The sequence below is a fragment of the Homo sapiens genome, chromosome 17, assembly GCF_000001405.40.
Source record: "Homo sapiens chromosome 17, GRCh38.p14 Primary Assembly".
In the NCBI taxonomy this organism is placed as follows: domain Eukaryota; kingdom Metazoa; phylum Chordata; class Mammalia; order Primates; family Hominidae; genus Homo; species Homo sapiens.
This window is the reverse complement of record NC_000017.11, coordinates 39,293,063-39,308,774: the sequence shown is the minus strand read 5'-3', so window position 1 is coordinate 39,308,774 and position 15,712 is coordinate 39,293,063. Positions and strand designations below refer to the sequence as shown.

General features: G+C 41.6%; 1 protein-coding gene and 1 non-coding gene across 7 annotated transcripts in view; one reads left to right on the top strand and one right to left on the bottom strand.

Moving 5' to 3' along the window:
* FBXL20 (F-box and leucine rich repeat protein 20) overlaps positions 1–15,712 on the top strand; it is a 149,894-nt gene that overhangs the window by 93,782 nt on the left and 40,400 nt on the right. For all 6 annotated transcript variants that reach the window (XM_047436952.1, NM_001370209.3, NM_001370208.3 and 3 more), the window contains exons 3-6: positions 5,136–5,190; positions 7,700–7,774; positions 9,691–9,785; positions 11,580–11,648. In XM_047436952.1, the coding sequence (XP_047292908.1) occupies positions 5,136–5,190; positions 7,700–7,774; positions 9,691–9,785; positions 11,580–11,648 (294 nt within the window). The remainder of the gene's footprint in view (positions 1–5,135; positions 5,191–7,699; positions 7,775–9,690; positions 9,786–11,579; positions 11,649–15,712) is intronic.
* Positions 11,266–11,375, bottom strand: MIR548BC (microRNA 548BC). The gene has a single exon (NR_162098.1). It is a non-coding gene; the product is annotated as a microRNA 548BC (primary transcript).

Below are 15,712 nucleotides of genomic sequence, written 5' to 3'. Positions count from 1 at the left end.
ATTAACACAGTGAAACCCCGTCTCTACTGAAAATACAAAAAATTAGCCGGGCGTGGTGGTTCGGCGCCTGTAGTGCCAGCTACTCAGGAGGCTGAGGCAGGAGAATGGCATGAATCTGGGAGGGGGAGCTTGCAGGGAACCAAGATTGTGCCACTGCACTCCAGCCTGGGTGACAGAGCAAGACTCCGTCTCAAAAAAAAAAAAAATTATTGTATTAAAAATTTTTTTGATTTTTTATTTCCCACCATTCTAATAGAAACCTATTTTTTTTTCTTTTTTTAAGAGACAGTCTGGCTCTGTTGCCCAGGCCAAAGCATAGTGGGGTGATCACAGTTCCCTACAGCCACTTACTCCTGAGCTCAAGTGATCCTCTTTCCTTAGCCCCCTGGATAGCTAGGACTACAGGCGTGCACCACAATCCTCAGCTAAATTTTTTCATTTTTACAGAGTCGGGGTCTCACTGTGTTGCCCATACTGGCCTCAAACTCCTGGCCATGGGCCAGGTGTGGTGACACACGCCTGTAATGCCCGCACTTTGGGAGGCCAAGGTGGGTAGATCACCTGAGCCCAGGAGCTCGAGACCAGCCTGGGCAACATGGCAAAACCCTGTCTTTAGGAAAAAAAAAAAAAAAGATCAAACTTTTGGCCGCAAGTGATCCTCCACCTGCCTTGGCCTCCCAGAGTGCTAGGATTATATATAGGTGTGAGCCACCATGCCTGGCCTGGCTTCCCCTAGACTTAGAATACAGTTGAAATCATTTACTATGTCCACAAAGTCTTTTAAATTTTTTTTTTTTTTTTTTTGAAATGATGTCTTGCTCTGTTGCCCAGGTTGGAGTGCAGTGGAGCCATCTCAGCTTACTGCAACCTCTGCCTCCCAAGTTGTAGCGATTCTCCTGCCTCAGCCTCCCAAGTAGCTAGGATTACAGGCACTTGCCACCACACCCAGCTAGTTTTTGTATTATTAGTAGAGACAGAGTTTCACCATGTTGGCCAGGCTAGTCTTGGAATCCTGACCTCAGGTGATCCACCCGCCTCGGCCTCCCAAAGTGCTGGGGATTACAGGTGTGAGCCACTGCGCCCAGTCTTTTTTTTAACATATTCTGGCCCTTGACTAACAGAAGTTTGTTCAATATCCTCATCTATAAGATGGGAATGCTAATAGTACCTATCTTATAGAATTGTTTTAAGGAGTCATTGGATTAGTATGTAAATTTACACACTTAGAATGATACCTGGTACATAATTAAGAACTCAGTATAGGGTTGTGCTGCTGCTGCAGTCCAGCTTCACTGTCTATTCTGATCTTCAAACATTCGTTTGTCATACACCCACTATTTCGTCTACTGGAATGCTCTTCTCCCCAGATCTTGGCAATCTGTTTCCTTTGATCATTTAGATCTTAAATCAAATACCTACTCCTAGGGGAGGCTTTCCTTGACCACCCTTCTATCACATTACTCAGCTTTATGTTTTTTATAGTACTCATCACTAATTGAAATTTTCTCATATATTTTACTTATTTTTTATCTACCTCCAGCCCCTATGCCGTGAGTTACTCAACAGTAGGGACTTAAAACAGTGCCCGTAGATAGCAGGTGGTAAAAATGTTTTTTGAATGAAACTCACCACCCTCCAAATCAGAATGTTTTTCTTTCCTTTCAGGCAAGCTGAAAAATTATAACCACAGCTTCAGATACTGCTCATCATTTTAACTAGATGTTTCCCCCTTTTGTATCCACCTATCCGGTTCTCCTTAGAGAAGGCAGATTCTCTAGACATTATTCACTATAATTGGTCTCTGGGCTTTTATTCAGGGATTTTCCTGTCCCTTGCTGGTGTCTTGCTGAGATTGCAGGATATAGATCAGTTATATTTGCTTTCCGTGTTGCTCCTTGCTTAACCCTCCCAGCTTATTTAATTTATTATCAGTTTTAAACAGTCCCTTACATGGGCCTCTACAGTTGGAGAAAAATCAAAATATCAGAAATCTGTTAGAGGAAGTAAATGTGTAAGAAAACCTAAGGGAAGATTCTTGAAACCAGTTCAGTTGCTATTAATAGTTTTTCTGACATCATGCAAATATTTCAATCACCAAAAGCACTTTCTGCTTCAAAACTGAAAATATTTAAAATAGTGTGATACTGGCATAAAGCAGACATAGACCAATGGAATAGAATAGAGAGCTCAGAAATAAACCTTCACATATATGGTCAAATGATTTTTGTCAAAAATGCCAGGACCATTCAGTGGGGAAAAGTACAGTCTTTTCAATAAATGGTCTTGCAAAGACCTATATCTAAGAACTAAAATTATAAAATCTTTGGAAGAAAACAGGAGAAAAACTTCATGACATTGAGTTTAGCAGTGATTTCTTGGATTTGACACCAAAAGTTCAGGAAATGAAAGAAAAAATAGATAAAGTGGATTACATCAAAATTTAAAACTTGTTTTAAAGCCTGGCGTGTGGTGGTGGGATGCCTGTAATCCCAGCTACTCGGAAGGCTGAGACAGGCGAATCACGTGACCCCAAGAGGCTGAGGTTGCAGTGAGCCGAGATGGTGCCACTGCACTCCAGCCTGGGCGACAGAGCAAAACTCCGTCTTAAAAAAAAAAAAAAGAACTCACTCTATCACCCAGGCTGGAGTACAGTGCTGTGATTGTAGCTTACTGCAGCCTCAAACTGAACACAATAGATCCTCCTACATCAGCTTCCCAAGTAGCTGGAACTACAGGCATATACCAGCATGCCTGGCTACTTTGTTTTTTTTTGTTTGTTTGTTTTTTGAGACACAGTCTCACTCTTGTCTCCCAGGCTGGAGTACAATGGCACCATCTCGGCTCACTGCAACCTCCACCTCCCAGGTTCAAGCGATTCTTCTGTCTCAGCCTCCCGAGTAGCTGGGATTACAAGCGCCCCCACCACCACGCCTGGCTAATTTTGTATTTTTAGTAGAAACGGGGTTTCACCATGTTTGTCAGGCTGGTCTCGAACTCCTGACCTCAGATGACCCACCCACCTCAGCCTCCCAAAATGCTGGGATTACAGTCGTGAGCCACTGTTCCCGGCTTAATTTTTAAAATTTTTGTAGAGACAGGGTCTCACTGTATTTTCCAGGCTGTTCTCAAACTCTTGGCCTCAAGTTATCCTCCTGCCCTCACATCCCAAAATGGTGGAATTACAGGTTTTAGCCATCATGCCTAGCCAAAGCTATGTTTTTTCTTTTCTTTTTTAAAATAGGGAGCCTCACTGTGTTGCCCAGGCTGGTCTTGAACTCCTGGCCTCTAGCAGTCTTTCCACTTCAGCCTCCCAAAGAGGTGGGATTATAGGCATGAGCCACCTTGCCTGATCTCCCATTCACTTTTATTTCCAGGATTCCCTGAACTATTTGCACAGGTAGCTTATGGTGTGGTTTATCAGGCTTTCAGCAAATAACTTATTGGTCTACTTCAAAATAAATACTTATTTGCCTTCTATAAGGCTGAGAAAAATTCTAGACAGTAAATATTTTCTAACATTGCTGTGTTAAAGGAGTCTTGTAATTTATTAAATTAGAATGAAATATGTAGAGATCTAACTTTTTTTAATTTATATTTTGTTTCTGGGTTTTTTTTTCTAGACATTTAACATTTTTCATTGCTGTTTTTTAGGCTTTATTAAATTATCTTTTTTTCTTCATAACTGTAAAATACTTCATTAAGATCCTTCCCAGCAGGGGCTGGGTGTGGTGGCTCACGCCTGTAATCCCAGCACTTTGGGAGGCTGAGACAGGGCGGATAACCTGACATCAGGAGTTTGAGACCAGCCTGCCCAACACGGTGAAACCCCATCTCTACTAAAAACACAAAAATTACCCGGGCGTGGTAGTGGATGCCTGTAATCCCAGCTAGTTGGTAGGCTGAGGCACGACAACCACTTGAACCGAGATCATGCCACTGCACTCCAGCCTGGACAGCCGGGTGAGTCTCTCTCAAAAAAACAAACAAACAAAAAGAACAACAACAACAAAAAAAAATTAGCTGAGCATGGTGGCATGCGCCTTTAGTCCCAGCTATTTGGGAGGCTGAGGTGGGAGAATCACCTGAGCCTGGGTGATTGAGGCTGGAGTGAATGATGACTGCACCACTGCATTCCAACCTGGGTGACAGGAGCAAGACCTTGTTTCAAATAAAAAAATCCTTCCCATCCAAGCATGTTGGCTCATACATGCAGTCCTAGCACTTTGGTAGTCTGAGGCAGGAGGATTGCTTGAGCTCAGCAGTTCAAAACCAGCCTGTGCAACATAGGGAGACCCTCATCTCTACAAAAAAATTAAAAAATTAGCCAGGCTTTGTGGCATGTGCCTGTTATCCCAGCTACTCAGGAGGCTGAGGTGGGAGGATTGCTTGGGTCCAGGAGGTCAAGGTTGCATTGAGCTGTGATTGTGCCACTGCACTCAAGCCTGCGTGACAGAGTGAAACCCTGTCTTCAGACAAGACAAAACAAAAAAAGATCCTTCCCCTGGCTTCTTTCTTTTGATAATTTTAGGTGGGAATTTTTTTTTTTTTACTTTAAAAAAACCAGCTAGAGATTATTTATTATCCTTTGGTGTAGGTAATTGAACTTGGTCAGCATCTGTATGTACATTATCAAGTAAAACATTTTTTCCCACTGTGTTTTATATGGGCAGTATTATCTTCACAGATTGCTCAAGCATTTTGTGTGTTTCTTCTAAAGAACTGCCTTTGTGTTTGTGTGTGTATATACATGTAGTCTGTTATTTCTATGCTAAAATCAAGAGCAACTACTTTATCATACTGACCAGGTGCAATAGTTCACACCTGTAATCCTAGCAATTTGGGAGGCCAATTGCTTGAGCCCAAGAGTTCGAGACCAGCCTGGGCAACATGGTGAAACCCCGTTTCTACAAAAAATTAAAAAGTAGCCAGGTATGGTGGCACGCATCTCTAGTCCTAGCTACTCAGGAGCTTGACGTGGGAGGATCACCTGACCCCAGGAAGTCAAGGCTGGGGCGAGCAGTGATTATGCCACTGCTCTCCAGCTTGGCTGACAGAGTGAGACCCTGTCTCAAAATAAATAAAGGTCAACTACTTTATCATACAATAAAATTTGTCTTTCTCTCTTTTCTTTTTAGGATATTTTCTTTTCTAGATGTTGTTACCCTGTGCCGCTGTGCTCAGGTCTCCAGGGTAAGTATTGTTGGCATAGTTACAGGGGGACCCCTTCTTCATACTGATGATAACAGCCTCTTTCATAGGCCATCCATTTATTTTAGGTGTTACTTGTATGTTTTCATGTTTTAAAGGAGATTATTTCACCAATGACATACCCAAACCCATGTAAATTTATGATGGGATTCTACTATATATACTGTCTCTGACTTTTTGTATCTCTTATTTGTGTAATATAAACAGGAAACATTTTCGATGAAAAAGCAATAAACATGCATATTAAAAGTTTAGACTTGACTCAAAATTGTGATGAAATCTTGTTTTATTATGTTTTCCTAGTTCATTTTTTTTTTTTACACAAGGACAATTTTAATCTTGCATTTTCCTGTAGTAACATCCACTGCTGGCTATCTATGGATTGAAACTGCATTTGCTAAGAACTGTGAACATGAAGAAACTTTACATGAAGTCACATGTTGATGCAGGCACACAGACATCTTCCAGCACCAACAGAATACATGCGTAACACATACCAGATAGTCTCGATGGATAAGTTTGCTTCACCAGTAATTCTAGTTAGTAAGATTCACAGTTAATGCAGAATCGGAGCTTGCAGTGAGCCGAGATCACACCACTGCACTCTACCCTGGGCGACAGAGCGAGACTCTGTCTCAAAAAAAAAAAAATAGTTTCAGAGCAATGATAGTATCTTTTCTAAGTCCCAAATCACTATATCACAGTTGTAAGTCCTACCACCTGATAGGATATAGATAGCAAAGAAGTACTGAACTAAGGCTGGGCCTGGTGGTTCACACCTATAATCCCTTCATTTTGGGAGGCCAAGATGGGAGGATTGCTTGAGGCCAGGAGTTCAAGACTAACCTGGGCAACATAGGGAGCCCTATCTCTACAGAAAATTTAAAAAATTAGGGCTGCGTGCAGTGGCTCACGCCTGTAATCCCAGCACTTTGGGAGGCCCAGGCGGGCAGATCATGAGGTTGGGAGATAGAGACCCTCCTGGCTAACACAGTGAAACCCCATCTCTACTAAAAATACAAAAAATTAGCCAGGCATGGAGGCGGATGCCTGTAGTCCCAGCTACTCGGGAGGCTGAGGCAGGAGAATGGCGTGAACCCGGGAGGTGGAGCTTGCAGTGAGCCAAGATTGCACCACTGCACTCCAGCCTGGGCGACAGAACGAGACTCCGTCTCAAAAAAAAAAAAAAAAAGCCAAATGCGGTGGTGCATGCCTGTGGTTCCAGCTACTTGGGAGGCTGAGGTGAGAGGATTGCTTGAGTCGGGGAGGTCAAGGCTGCAAGTGACCCATGATTGAGCCACTGCACTCCATCCCAGGTGACAGTGACACCGTGTCTCAAGAAATACATATATTTCTCTATATATATACTCTATATATAGAAAAAGAGAGTGAGAATAGAGCAATATTCAGAGTACTGTCCCCTTTGATGTTTGGTTTTACCTTCATATTTTTCCAGATAGAAGGATTTTTTTTAAGGATCATATTTTTAAGCATAGAAGAAAGACTTGCTTTTCATAAACTGAACTTTTGTCTCATTTTGGGATTAGAAACTAGAATTTTCCAGTTAGAAAATACCTTCTGGCTATGATACTTATCACAACTTGCCCTTTCCTTAACTTCTCTAATTTAAGTGTGCGTGGGCGGGGGGAGGGAGGGTTAGTCTTGTTTTTTGTTTTTTTGCTAAGGTCTTGCTGTGTCACCCAGGCTGGAGTACAATGGTGAGATCATGGCTCACTGCAGCCCTTACCTCCTGGCTCACCTCCCACCTCAGCCTCCCGAATAGCTGGGACTACAGTTGTGTGCCACCATGCCCGACTAATTTTTTTAATTTTTCCCCCCCAGATGAAGTTTCGCTCTGTCGCCCAGGCTGGAGTGCAGTGGCACAATCTTGGCTCACTGCAACCTCCGCCTCCCAGGTTCAAGTGATTGTCCTGCCTTAGCTTCCTGAGTAGCTGAGATTACAGGCACGTGCCACCACACCCGGCTAATTTTTGTATTTTTAGTAGAGACGGGGTTTCACCATGTTGGCCAGGCTGGTCTCGAACTCTTGACCTCAGGTGATCCGCCTGCCTCGGCCTCCTAAAGTGCTGGGATTACAGACGTGAGCCACCATGCCCGACCAAGTTTTTAAATTTTTTTATAGGGATCGGGTCTGGCTATATTGCCCAGGCTGGTCTGGAACTCCTGGGCTCAAGTGATCCTTCCACCTTGACCTCCCAAGTGATGGGATTATAAATTTGAGTCACCATGCCTGGCCTAAGATCTTTTGTAGCTGCTAGTTTCTAGTACCCACTCGTTTATGAGATTATCTAATTGGAGAATACAATATGGGTCAGGAGTAAGACACATCATTTGGGAGTAAGTGGATAGGGCCTGATAAATTTTTGGATCCATTTTAGTCATTAGTTGGTTGAATTGTGAACTTGAATATTGCTGCCTTTTCCCCTTAATTTTAGCTTCTGCTCATTCTGTCTCTTTTTCTTTAAAATAGGCCTGGAATGTTCTGGCTCTGGATGGCAGTAACTGGCAGCGAATTGACCTATTTGATTTCCAGAGGGATATTGAGGTATAATTATGTGGTGTGTGGCCCCAGTTTTCATGTTAGTAATTACAGCATGGAACAGATTAGCCCTAGCCATATTAATCTCATTTTCGTTAAAGAGAGGAACTATTATTTTCAGTGCATCTGAACTTTACAGGAACCCCCAAAGTTACCAAGGGTTTCTGCAGTTTTTGAGAATGAGCCAGATTATTTCACTGAAATAATACAATTACTTAGTATTACTAGGACTAAATAGGACTCTTTGGTCTTGAAATAGGACTAAAAGTTTGTTTTTGCAGTGGAAACATTGAATCTATGTTTATTTTAGTGAAGACATTTTATATTTGTTTACTGAGGAATAAATAGAGTTATAACTTGTTGGGATGGCGTTCGTATATATTTTTTTGAGATATGTGTTTTGGTTCTTGAGGAGCCAATTTCTTGTGGAGAACGAAGGTTGAATGAGGCCAAAGCCATTTATTGAATCGTTTTTGCTAGAGAGAGAAGTTTTTTCCTCCTCTCACTTTTTGCCCCATGTTTTATCTCCTAGTATAGCCTATTATCTATAAAATGGAGAATGGCTTACACTTAAATTATTTTAAACTGAATTTGAACTCCTGTTTTTCTTATCCTTCTCATCAGGAAGGTAGAAATAAATAGCTTCTTCATGGCTTCTTAAGGATTAAATGAGGTTTTTTGAGGGCACGTGGGATGGCTTACACCTGTAATCTCAGCACTTTGGGAGGCCAAGGTGGGCGGATCACCTGAGGTCAGGAGTTCAAAACCAACCAAAGTGCTTTTAAAATAATATCCACTGGCATTATATGGGATTTTGTTTTTCACAATTCTATACCCTTCATGGATGTAAATATTTAAAGCAACACCGCCCACAGAATTATTCAGCAAGCTTTTGTTTTTGTTTGTTTTCGAGACAGAGTCTCATTTTGTCACCCAGGCTGGAGTGCAGTGGTGCGGTCTCAGCTCACTGCAACCTCTGCCTCCTGGGTTCAAGCAATTCTTGTGCCTCAGCCTCCCAAGTAGCTGGGACTACGGGTGTGAGCCACCATGCCCGGCTAATTTTTGTATTTTTAGTAGAGATTGGGTTTCACCATGTTGGCCAGGCTTGTATCGAACTCCTGACCTCAAATGATTGCCTGCCTCAGCCTCCCAAAGTGCTGGGATTATAGGCGGAATCCACTGCACCTGGCCAGCTTTTGTTTTTGTTGTTGTTGTTGTTGTTTTGAGACAGAGTCTCGCTTTGTCGCCCAGGCTGGAGTGCAGTGGAGCAAGACCTGGGCTCACTACAAGCTCCGTCTCCTGGGTTCACGCCATTCTCCTGCCTCAGCCTCCCGAGTAGCTGGGACTACAGGCACCCACCATCACGCCCGGCTAGTTTTTTGTATTTTTAGTAGAGATGGGGTTTCACCGTGTTAGCCAGGATGGTGTTGATCTCCTGACCTCGTGATCCACCCGCCTCGGCCTCCCAAAGTGCTGGGATTACAGGCGTGGGCCACCGTGCCTGGCCCCTGACCAGCTTTTGTTAAATGTTCATTGAGTCTCTACTATAAGCAGAGTACTATAATAAACATTTTGGAAAAGATACAAAAAAATAATGTAGTTGCTGTCTTTCAGTAGCTGCAGCTTAACCCAGCTAGGCAGTATATATGCATATAATGCCAAAGAGAACTATAGAACATTATTTTCTCAAGTACAGAATATATTTTACAAGTTAAACAAAATAAGAATATGGGGTTTAGGCATGATGCAAATGATAGGGGTTAATCAGGAAAGCTTTCTCAGGGTAAGTTACAATTTTCCTATTAAATTAGGTCATAATAGAAGCATTTTCTCTTTGTTTATAAATCGTTAAAAATGAGTATGTGTTCTTTTCTAAAGTAATGAGGTGGGTTATCTTTTTGTTTGCCTGTCTCATTTTACAGGGCCGAGTAGTGGAGAATATTTCAAAACGATGTGGGGGCTTTTTACGAAAGTTAAGTCTTCGTGGATGTCTTGGAGTGGGAGACAATGCATTAAGGTAAAAACATAACTATTGATTAATCTTCTTGATGGAAGTGAAGAGCAGCACCATCTCACCCAGAAAAGGCTAAAATCGTTAAAATTCCTAAGTTATTAAAAATGCAACCACACATTGCTTATAATCTGAAAATATCCAGTAATAAGAAATGTAGTTTTAACAGTAAACAAGAACAAGTACTGCCTGAAAAAAACCCAGATTCCCCATCATAAGTGGTTCTTTTGGAGCTTTGAATAAGTTTTTTTTAAATTAATTAATATTTTTATTTTATGTTTTGAGACAAGGTCTCACACTATCACCCAGGCTGGAGTGCCCTGGCATAATCATGGCTCACTATAGTCTTGAACTCCTGGACTCAAGCAATCCTCCCTCTCCTGAGTAGCTGTGACTGAAGACGTGTACCACCACGCCTGGCTAAGTTTTAAAATTTTTTTATAGAGTCAGGGTCTCATTTTGTTGTCCAGGCTGGTCTCGAACTCTTGCACTCAAGCAGTCCTCTTGCCTCAGCCTCCCAAAGTGCTGGAATTACGGGCATGAGCCACTGCACCCAGCTTAGTTCTTTTTTAGGGTTATGGTTAACCCTAACCTGGGCAGTGACCCCAGGACTTTGGGAGGCTAGGTGGGAGGATTACTTGAGGCCAGGAGTACAAGACCAATCTAGGCAGCATGGCAAGGCTCCCATCTCTACAAAAAACTTTTTTTAATTAGCCAGGTTAGGTGACATATGCCTGTAAACCCAGCTACTTGGGATACTGAGTGAAGTAGGAGGATCACTTGAGCCTGGGAGGTTGAGGCTACAGTGAGCTGTGATTGTACCACTGTACTCCAGCCTGAGTGACAGAGGAAGACCCTGTCTCTAAAAATAAATAAATAAATAAGCAATCATTTATTTTTTTAATTTAAAATAATTTTTAAAGTTATGTTTGAAGAATTTATAATGGAAAATTCATTTAAGCCAGGTGTGATAGCCCAAGCCTGTAATCTCAGCACTTTGAAAGGCTGATGTGGGTGGATCACTTGAGGTCAGGCGTTCAAGACCAGCCTGACCAACATGGTGAAACCCTGTCTCTACTAAAAATACAAAAACTTAGTTGGGCATGGTGGTGCGTGCCTGTAATTCCAGCTACTCAGGAGGCTGAGGCAGGAGAATCACTTGAACCTGGGAGGTGGAGGCTGCAGTGAGCTGAGATCACACCACTATACTCCAGCCTGGGTGACAGAGAGAGATTCCATCTCAAAAGAAAAATCATGGCCAGGCTTAATGGCTCACACCTGTAATCACAGCATTTAGGGAGGCTGAGGTAGAAGGAATATGAAGAGGTGTATAAGGCAGAGTCTAGAAGGGTCCCAGGCACAGGAGCTTCTGTCCTGTGGAGTTGGGGTGTACTACCTTCCTGGCACGTGGTTACATTCACCAACCCAGAAGCTCTCTGATCCCTATCATTTAGGGGTTTTTACAGAGTTTCCTTGATCGTAGACATAATTGAAGACCAAATATTATATTAGGTTGGTGCAAAAGTAATCACAGTTTTTGCCATGAGCAGTAATGGCAAAAACCGCGATTACTTCTCACCAACCTGTAACAAAAGATACTATCACTCAGGAAATTACAAAGATTTTAGGGATGGTATGCCAAGAACCGAAGATGAAGACCAAATACATGTTTTTCCTTTATATCACAGTATCACAGATATCAACAATCAATATTACCAATAATAATATATTTTATTACTTTTTTAATGACTGGAATTTGGCCTATTTCATTTGAAACCTCTTACTTTCTTTCCTACAAAGAACCTTTGCACAAAACTGCAGGAACATTGAAGTACTGAATCTAAATGGGTGTACAAAGACAACAGACGCGTAAGTATTTTATGTTTTTGGAGGATAAGTCATAACCCCTTATGTCTGGCTGATACAACCTTAAATTCAGGCCATTAACTCTATTGAGCAAATTTTATCTTGGTTTTGTAGAGGAAAGATATTTTTAGAAGAGAAAGCAACATCAAAGTAGAAATAGAATAAGAAACTTGTTTTGGAATTCTATCTTTGATACAATTTAAGGTGAAACTTTTAATAATTGTAGTCAGTGTACATACAGTAGGGATACTAATAATACATATTACTGGGATTATTTATATTTCTAGATACTAGTAGCTACCAGTTAAAAGCCACAGTAAACATAATTCAGTGAAAAGATTAAAATCTTAAACAGAGGACTAAACAGCTTATGATAATCAGTCCTGAGAACAGTTATTAAATGAAAATGATTCACTAAATGTGCTGTGTCTGTGTTGGTCATGATCTGAAGGAAATTAAGCTTAATTCTTCATCCTCAAGAGGCTTACAGTCACAGAAATTAGACCTAGAGGGTAGTTATTCATTAACTCTACTAATAAGTATTTCTTTTTTTTTTTTTTTTTTTTTTTTGAGACAGAGTCTCGCTCTGTTGCCCAGGCTGGACTGCAGTGGCGCAACCTTGGTTCACTGTAACCTCTGCCTCCTGGCTTGAAGCAATTCTCCTGCCTCAGCCTCCCGAGTAGCTGGGACTACAGGCACGTGCCACCACGCCCGGCTTATTTTTTGTATTTTTAGTAGAGACGGGGTTTCACCTTGTTAGCCAGGATGGTCTCGATCTCCTGACCTCGTGATCCGCCCACTTCGGCCTCCCAAAGTGCTGGGATTACAGGCATGAGCCACCGCGCCTGGCCTCTGCTAATAAGTATTCCTATAGATTGATTTGGAAACGTTTACTGTGAGAGATGAAATATACTAACCTCTTCCCCCACCATTACTTTATACCAGTAGAACTACATTTACTTTAGATAAATTATCTTTTAATTTTTGTTTCCTTTGAGTACTTAGTGTTATAAAGAATAAGAATTTGACCACTTGGTATCTAGAAAAGTGACATGTAATTAACACTTTTTTGTCAGAATCTATCTTATCCTCAAGATGCATTGGTGAAAACATAATATGTATATGCAAGGCTACTACATTACTTGTAATAGCAAAAGATAGGAAACTCCCCAATGTCTATTAGTAGAGAACAGGTTGAATAAAAGTAATGAGGAAAATCTATATATAATACTCTGGATGATCTTCAGGACATGTTGTTAAATGAAGAAAAGCAAACTGCGGAGGAGTTTGTATAATACACCTTTTATAGGGCCAGAAGACTTAATATATATATATATATATATATCTCCATATTTGCATATTTTCAAAAAGAATGGAAATGCCAATCAAAAATAAAATAAGTAAAAATAGTTACTTATATGGGGAAGTGAGAAAACACAAGGGAAAGAGATAAAAGGGAGAACTCTGAATTATGTTTTATCGTTTAATAGCCATGTAAATATTTTACATAATTCAAACAAAAATTAAGTCAAAAAGAAATGAAAGCAATCCCTACAAATTAAAAACACATGAACCAGCCCAGTGCGGTGACTCAGGTCTATAATCCTAGCACCTTGGGAGGCTGAGGTGGGTGGATAACTTGAGGTCAGGGGTTCAAGCCAGCCTGGCCAACATGGTGAAACCCCATCTCTACTAAAAGCAAAAATTAGCCAGGCATGGTGGCACATCCCAGCTACTTGGGAGGCTGAGGCATGAGAATCGCTTGAACCCAGGAGGTGGAGGTTGCAGTGAGCTGAGATCACACTACTGTATTCCAGCCTAGATGAAAGAGCAAGACTCTGGTTCAAAGAAAAAACCCCTTGAACCCAAGTTGGAGTTATAGTCACACAGAGAGAAATTACTTCTGCTGACTTTTTTTAAATATGAAAATTTGAAACATATACAGAAGTAGACAAAAACGTGTAATGAGCCCATCACCCAGCTTTAACTGTTACCAGTTTACAGCCAGTCTTGTTTCATCGATAACCCCACCCACTTATCCCCTCTTGTTTTATCTTATTTTGAAAAAAAGTCCTAGACATCATATTATTTAATCCGTATTTCAGTATGTACTCTTTAACAATAAAGTCTCTCATATGAGTGCATTAACTTTTTTTGTTTTGAGACGATGTCTTGCCCTGTTGCCCAGGTTGGAGTGCAGTGGCACAATCTCAGCCCAGCTTCCTGAGTACCTGGGATTACAGGCCCATGCCACCATGTCCAACTAATTTTTGTATTTTTAGTAGAGACAGGGTTTCACCATGTTGGCCAGGCTGGTCAGGATCTCCTGACCTCAGGTGATCTGCCCACCTCGGCCTCCCAAAGTGCTGGGATTACAGGCGTGAGCCACCGTGTCTGGCCATAAGTGCATTAACTTTTATCACTCCTCTAAAAACAATATCTTAAAATCATCAAATAACCAGTTGTCAATATTCAAATTTCCACATTTTAGTGAATTTAAAAATACACTATTTTAAACACAGTATTAGCCTTGAAATATACAAATTTTTTAAATCAAAGAAGCAGCAGGGGACTGTGGCTCACTCCTGTAATCCCAGCACTTTGAGAGGCTGAGGTGGGTGGATTACTTTAGCCCAACCTCGGCAACATGAGAAACCCCACCTCTACAAAAAAATACAAAAAATTAGCCAGGCATGGTGGCATATGCCTGTAGTCCAAGCTACTTGGGAGGCTGAGGTGGGAGGATTGCTTGGGCTTGGGAGCTTGGGAGCCAGAGGTTGTAGTGAGCTATGTTTCACTGCACTCCAGCCTGGGCAACAAAGCAAGACCCTGTCTCAAAAAAATAATAAAGAAGCAGCCAGGTGTGGTGGTTCACACCTGTAATCCCAGCACATTGGGAGACTGAGGCAGGAGGACTACTTGAGACCAGGAGTTTGAGTCTAGCCTGGCCAACATAGTGAGACCCTATGTCTTAAAAAAAAAAAATCCAAGTAGACTTCTCCTTCTCACAGTGACAATAACTGCCCTCCTGCTGTAAACAACTAGAAAACTAAACAAAACCTAGAAGACCAGTTTAGGATGTTGTACTTGTGGCACAAGACTGAGAAGCAAATGAATGAGCCATGTGATTATCCTCACTTTGTGACTGAGGCATTTTTCAGACAATGCCATAGAGGGAGGGGGAGCCCAAGCAGAGGACAGAGTTTTTGCTGATTTGAAAAGAAAGAGATCAGAATTCAAGGAGGCTAAAGTAGCTGAAATTTGTGGCTGATAAAGAGGAAGCTACTAAAAAAAAAAAATAAAGGCTACAGAAATTTATGTAGATTTGGCTGAATAGTAAACTCTGCATGCACAGGATGAGACCCCACACAGTTTGGCAAAGAAGATCTAGTGAGGAAAAAAACAATTACTGGGAAACTATAAGCCAAAGAATTTCCAGGGCTTAATAAGGCTGGATGAAGTTCCACCCACCCAAAATGGAGAAAATTCATTGAACACCTGGGACATTCAATAAAGACTCCAGAAAGATTACACCTTGGTGGTAGGGCTAAAATAGACCTGCTCTATTAAATATTTTATTTTTTTATTTATTTTATTTTAAGAATCAGGCCGGGCATGGTGGCTCACGCCTGCAATTTCAGCACTTTGGGAGGCTGAGGTGGGCAGATCACCTGAAGTCAGGAGTTCAAGACCAGCCTGGCCAACATGGTGAAACCCCATCTCTACTAAAAATACAAAAATTAGCCAGGCCGTGGTAGCATGTGTCTGTAATCTCAGCTACTTGGAAGGCTGAGGCAGAAGAATTGCTCAAACCCAGGATGCGGAGGTTGCAGTGAGCCGAGATCATGCCACTGCACTCCAGCCTGGGCGACAGAGCGAGACTCCGTCTCAAAAAAAAAAAAAAGTGATCCAAAACAAACTTAACTGCCTGCCAAAACACAGCTCAGCACTCTTTAAAGGAAGACATCAAAGTCCAGAAACCCAGCAATGTGGCATACAGAATATCTGTCACTCAATCAAAAATTGTAAGACATGTTGGCCAGGCACAGTGGCTCATGCCTGTAATC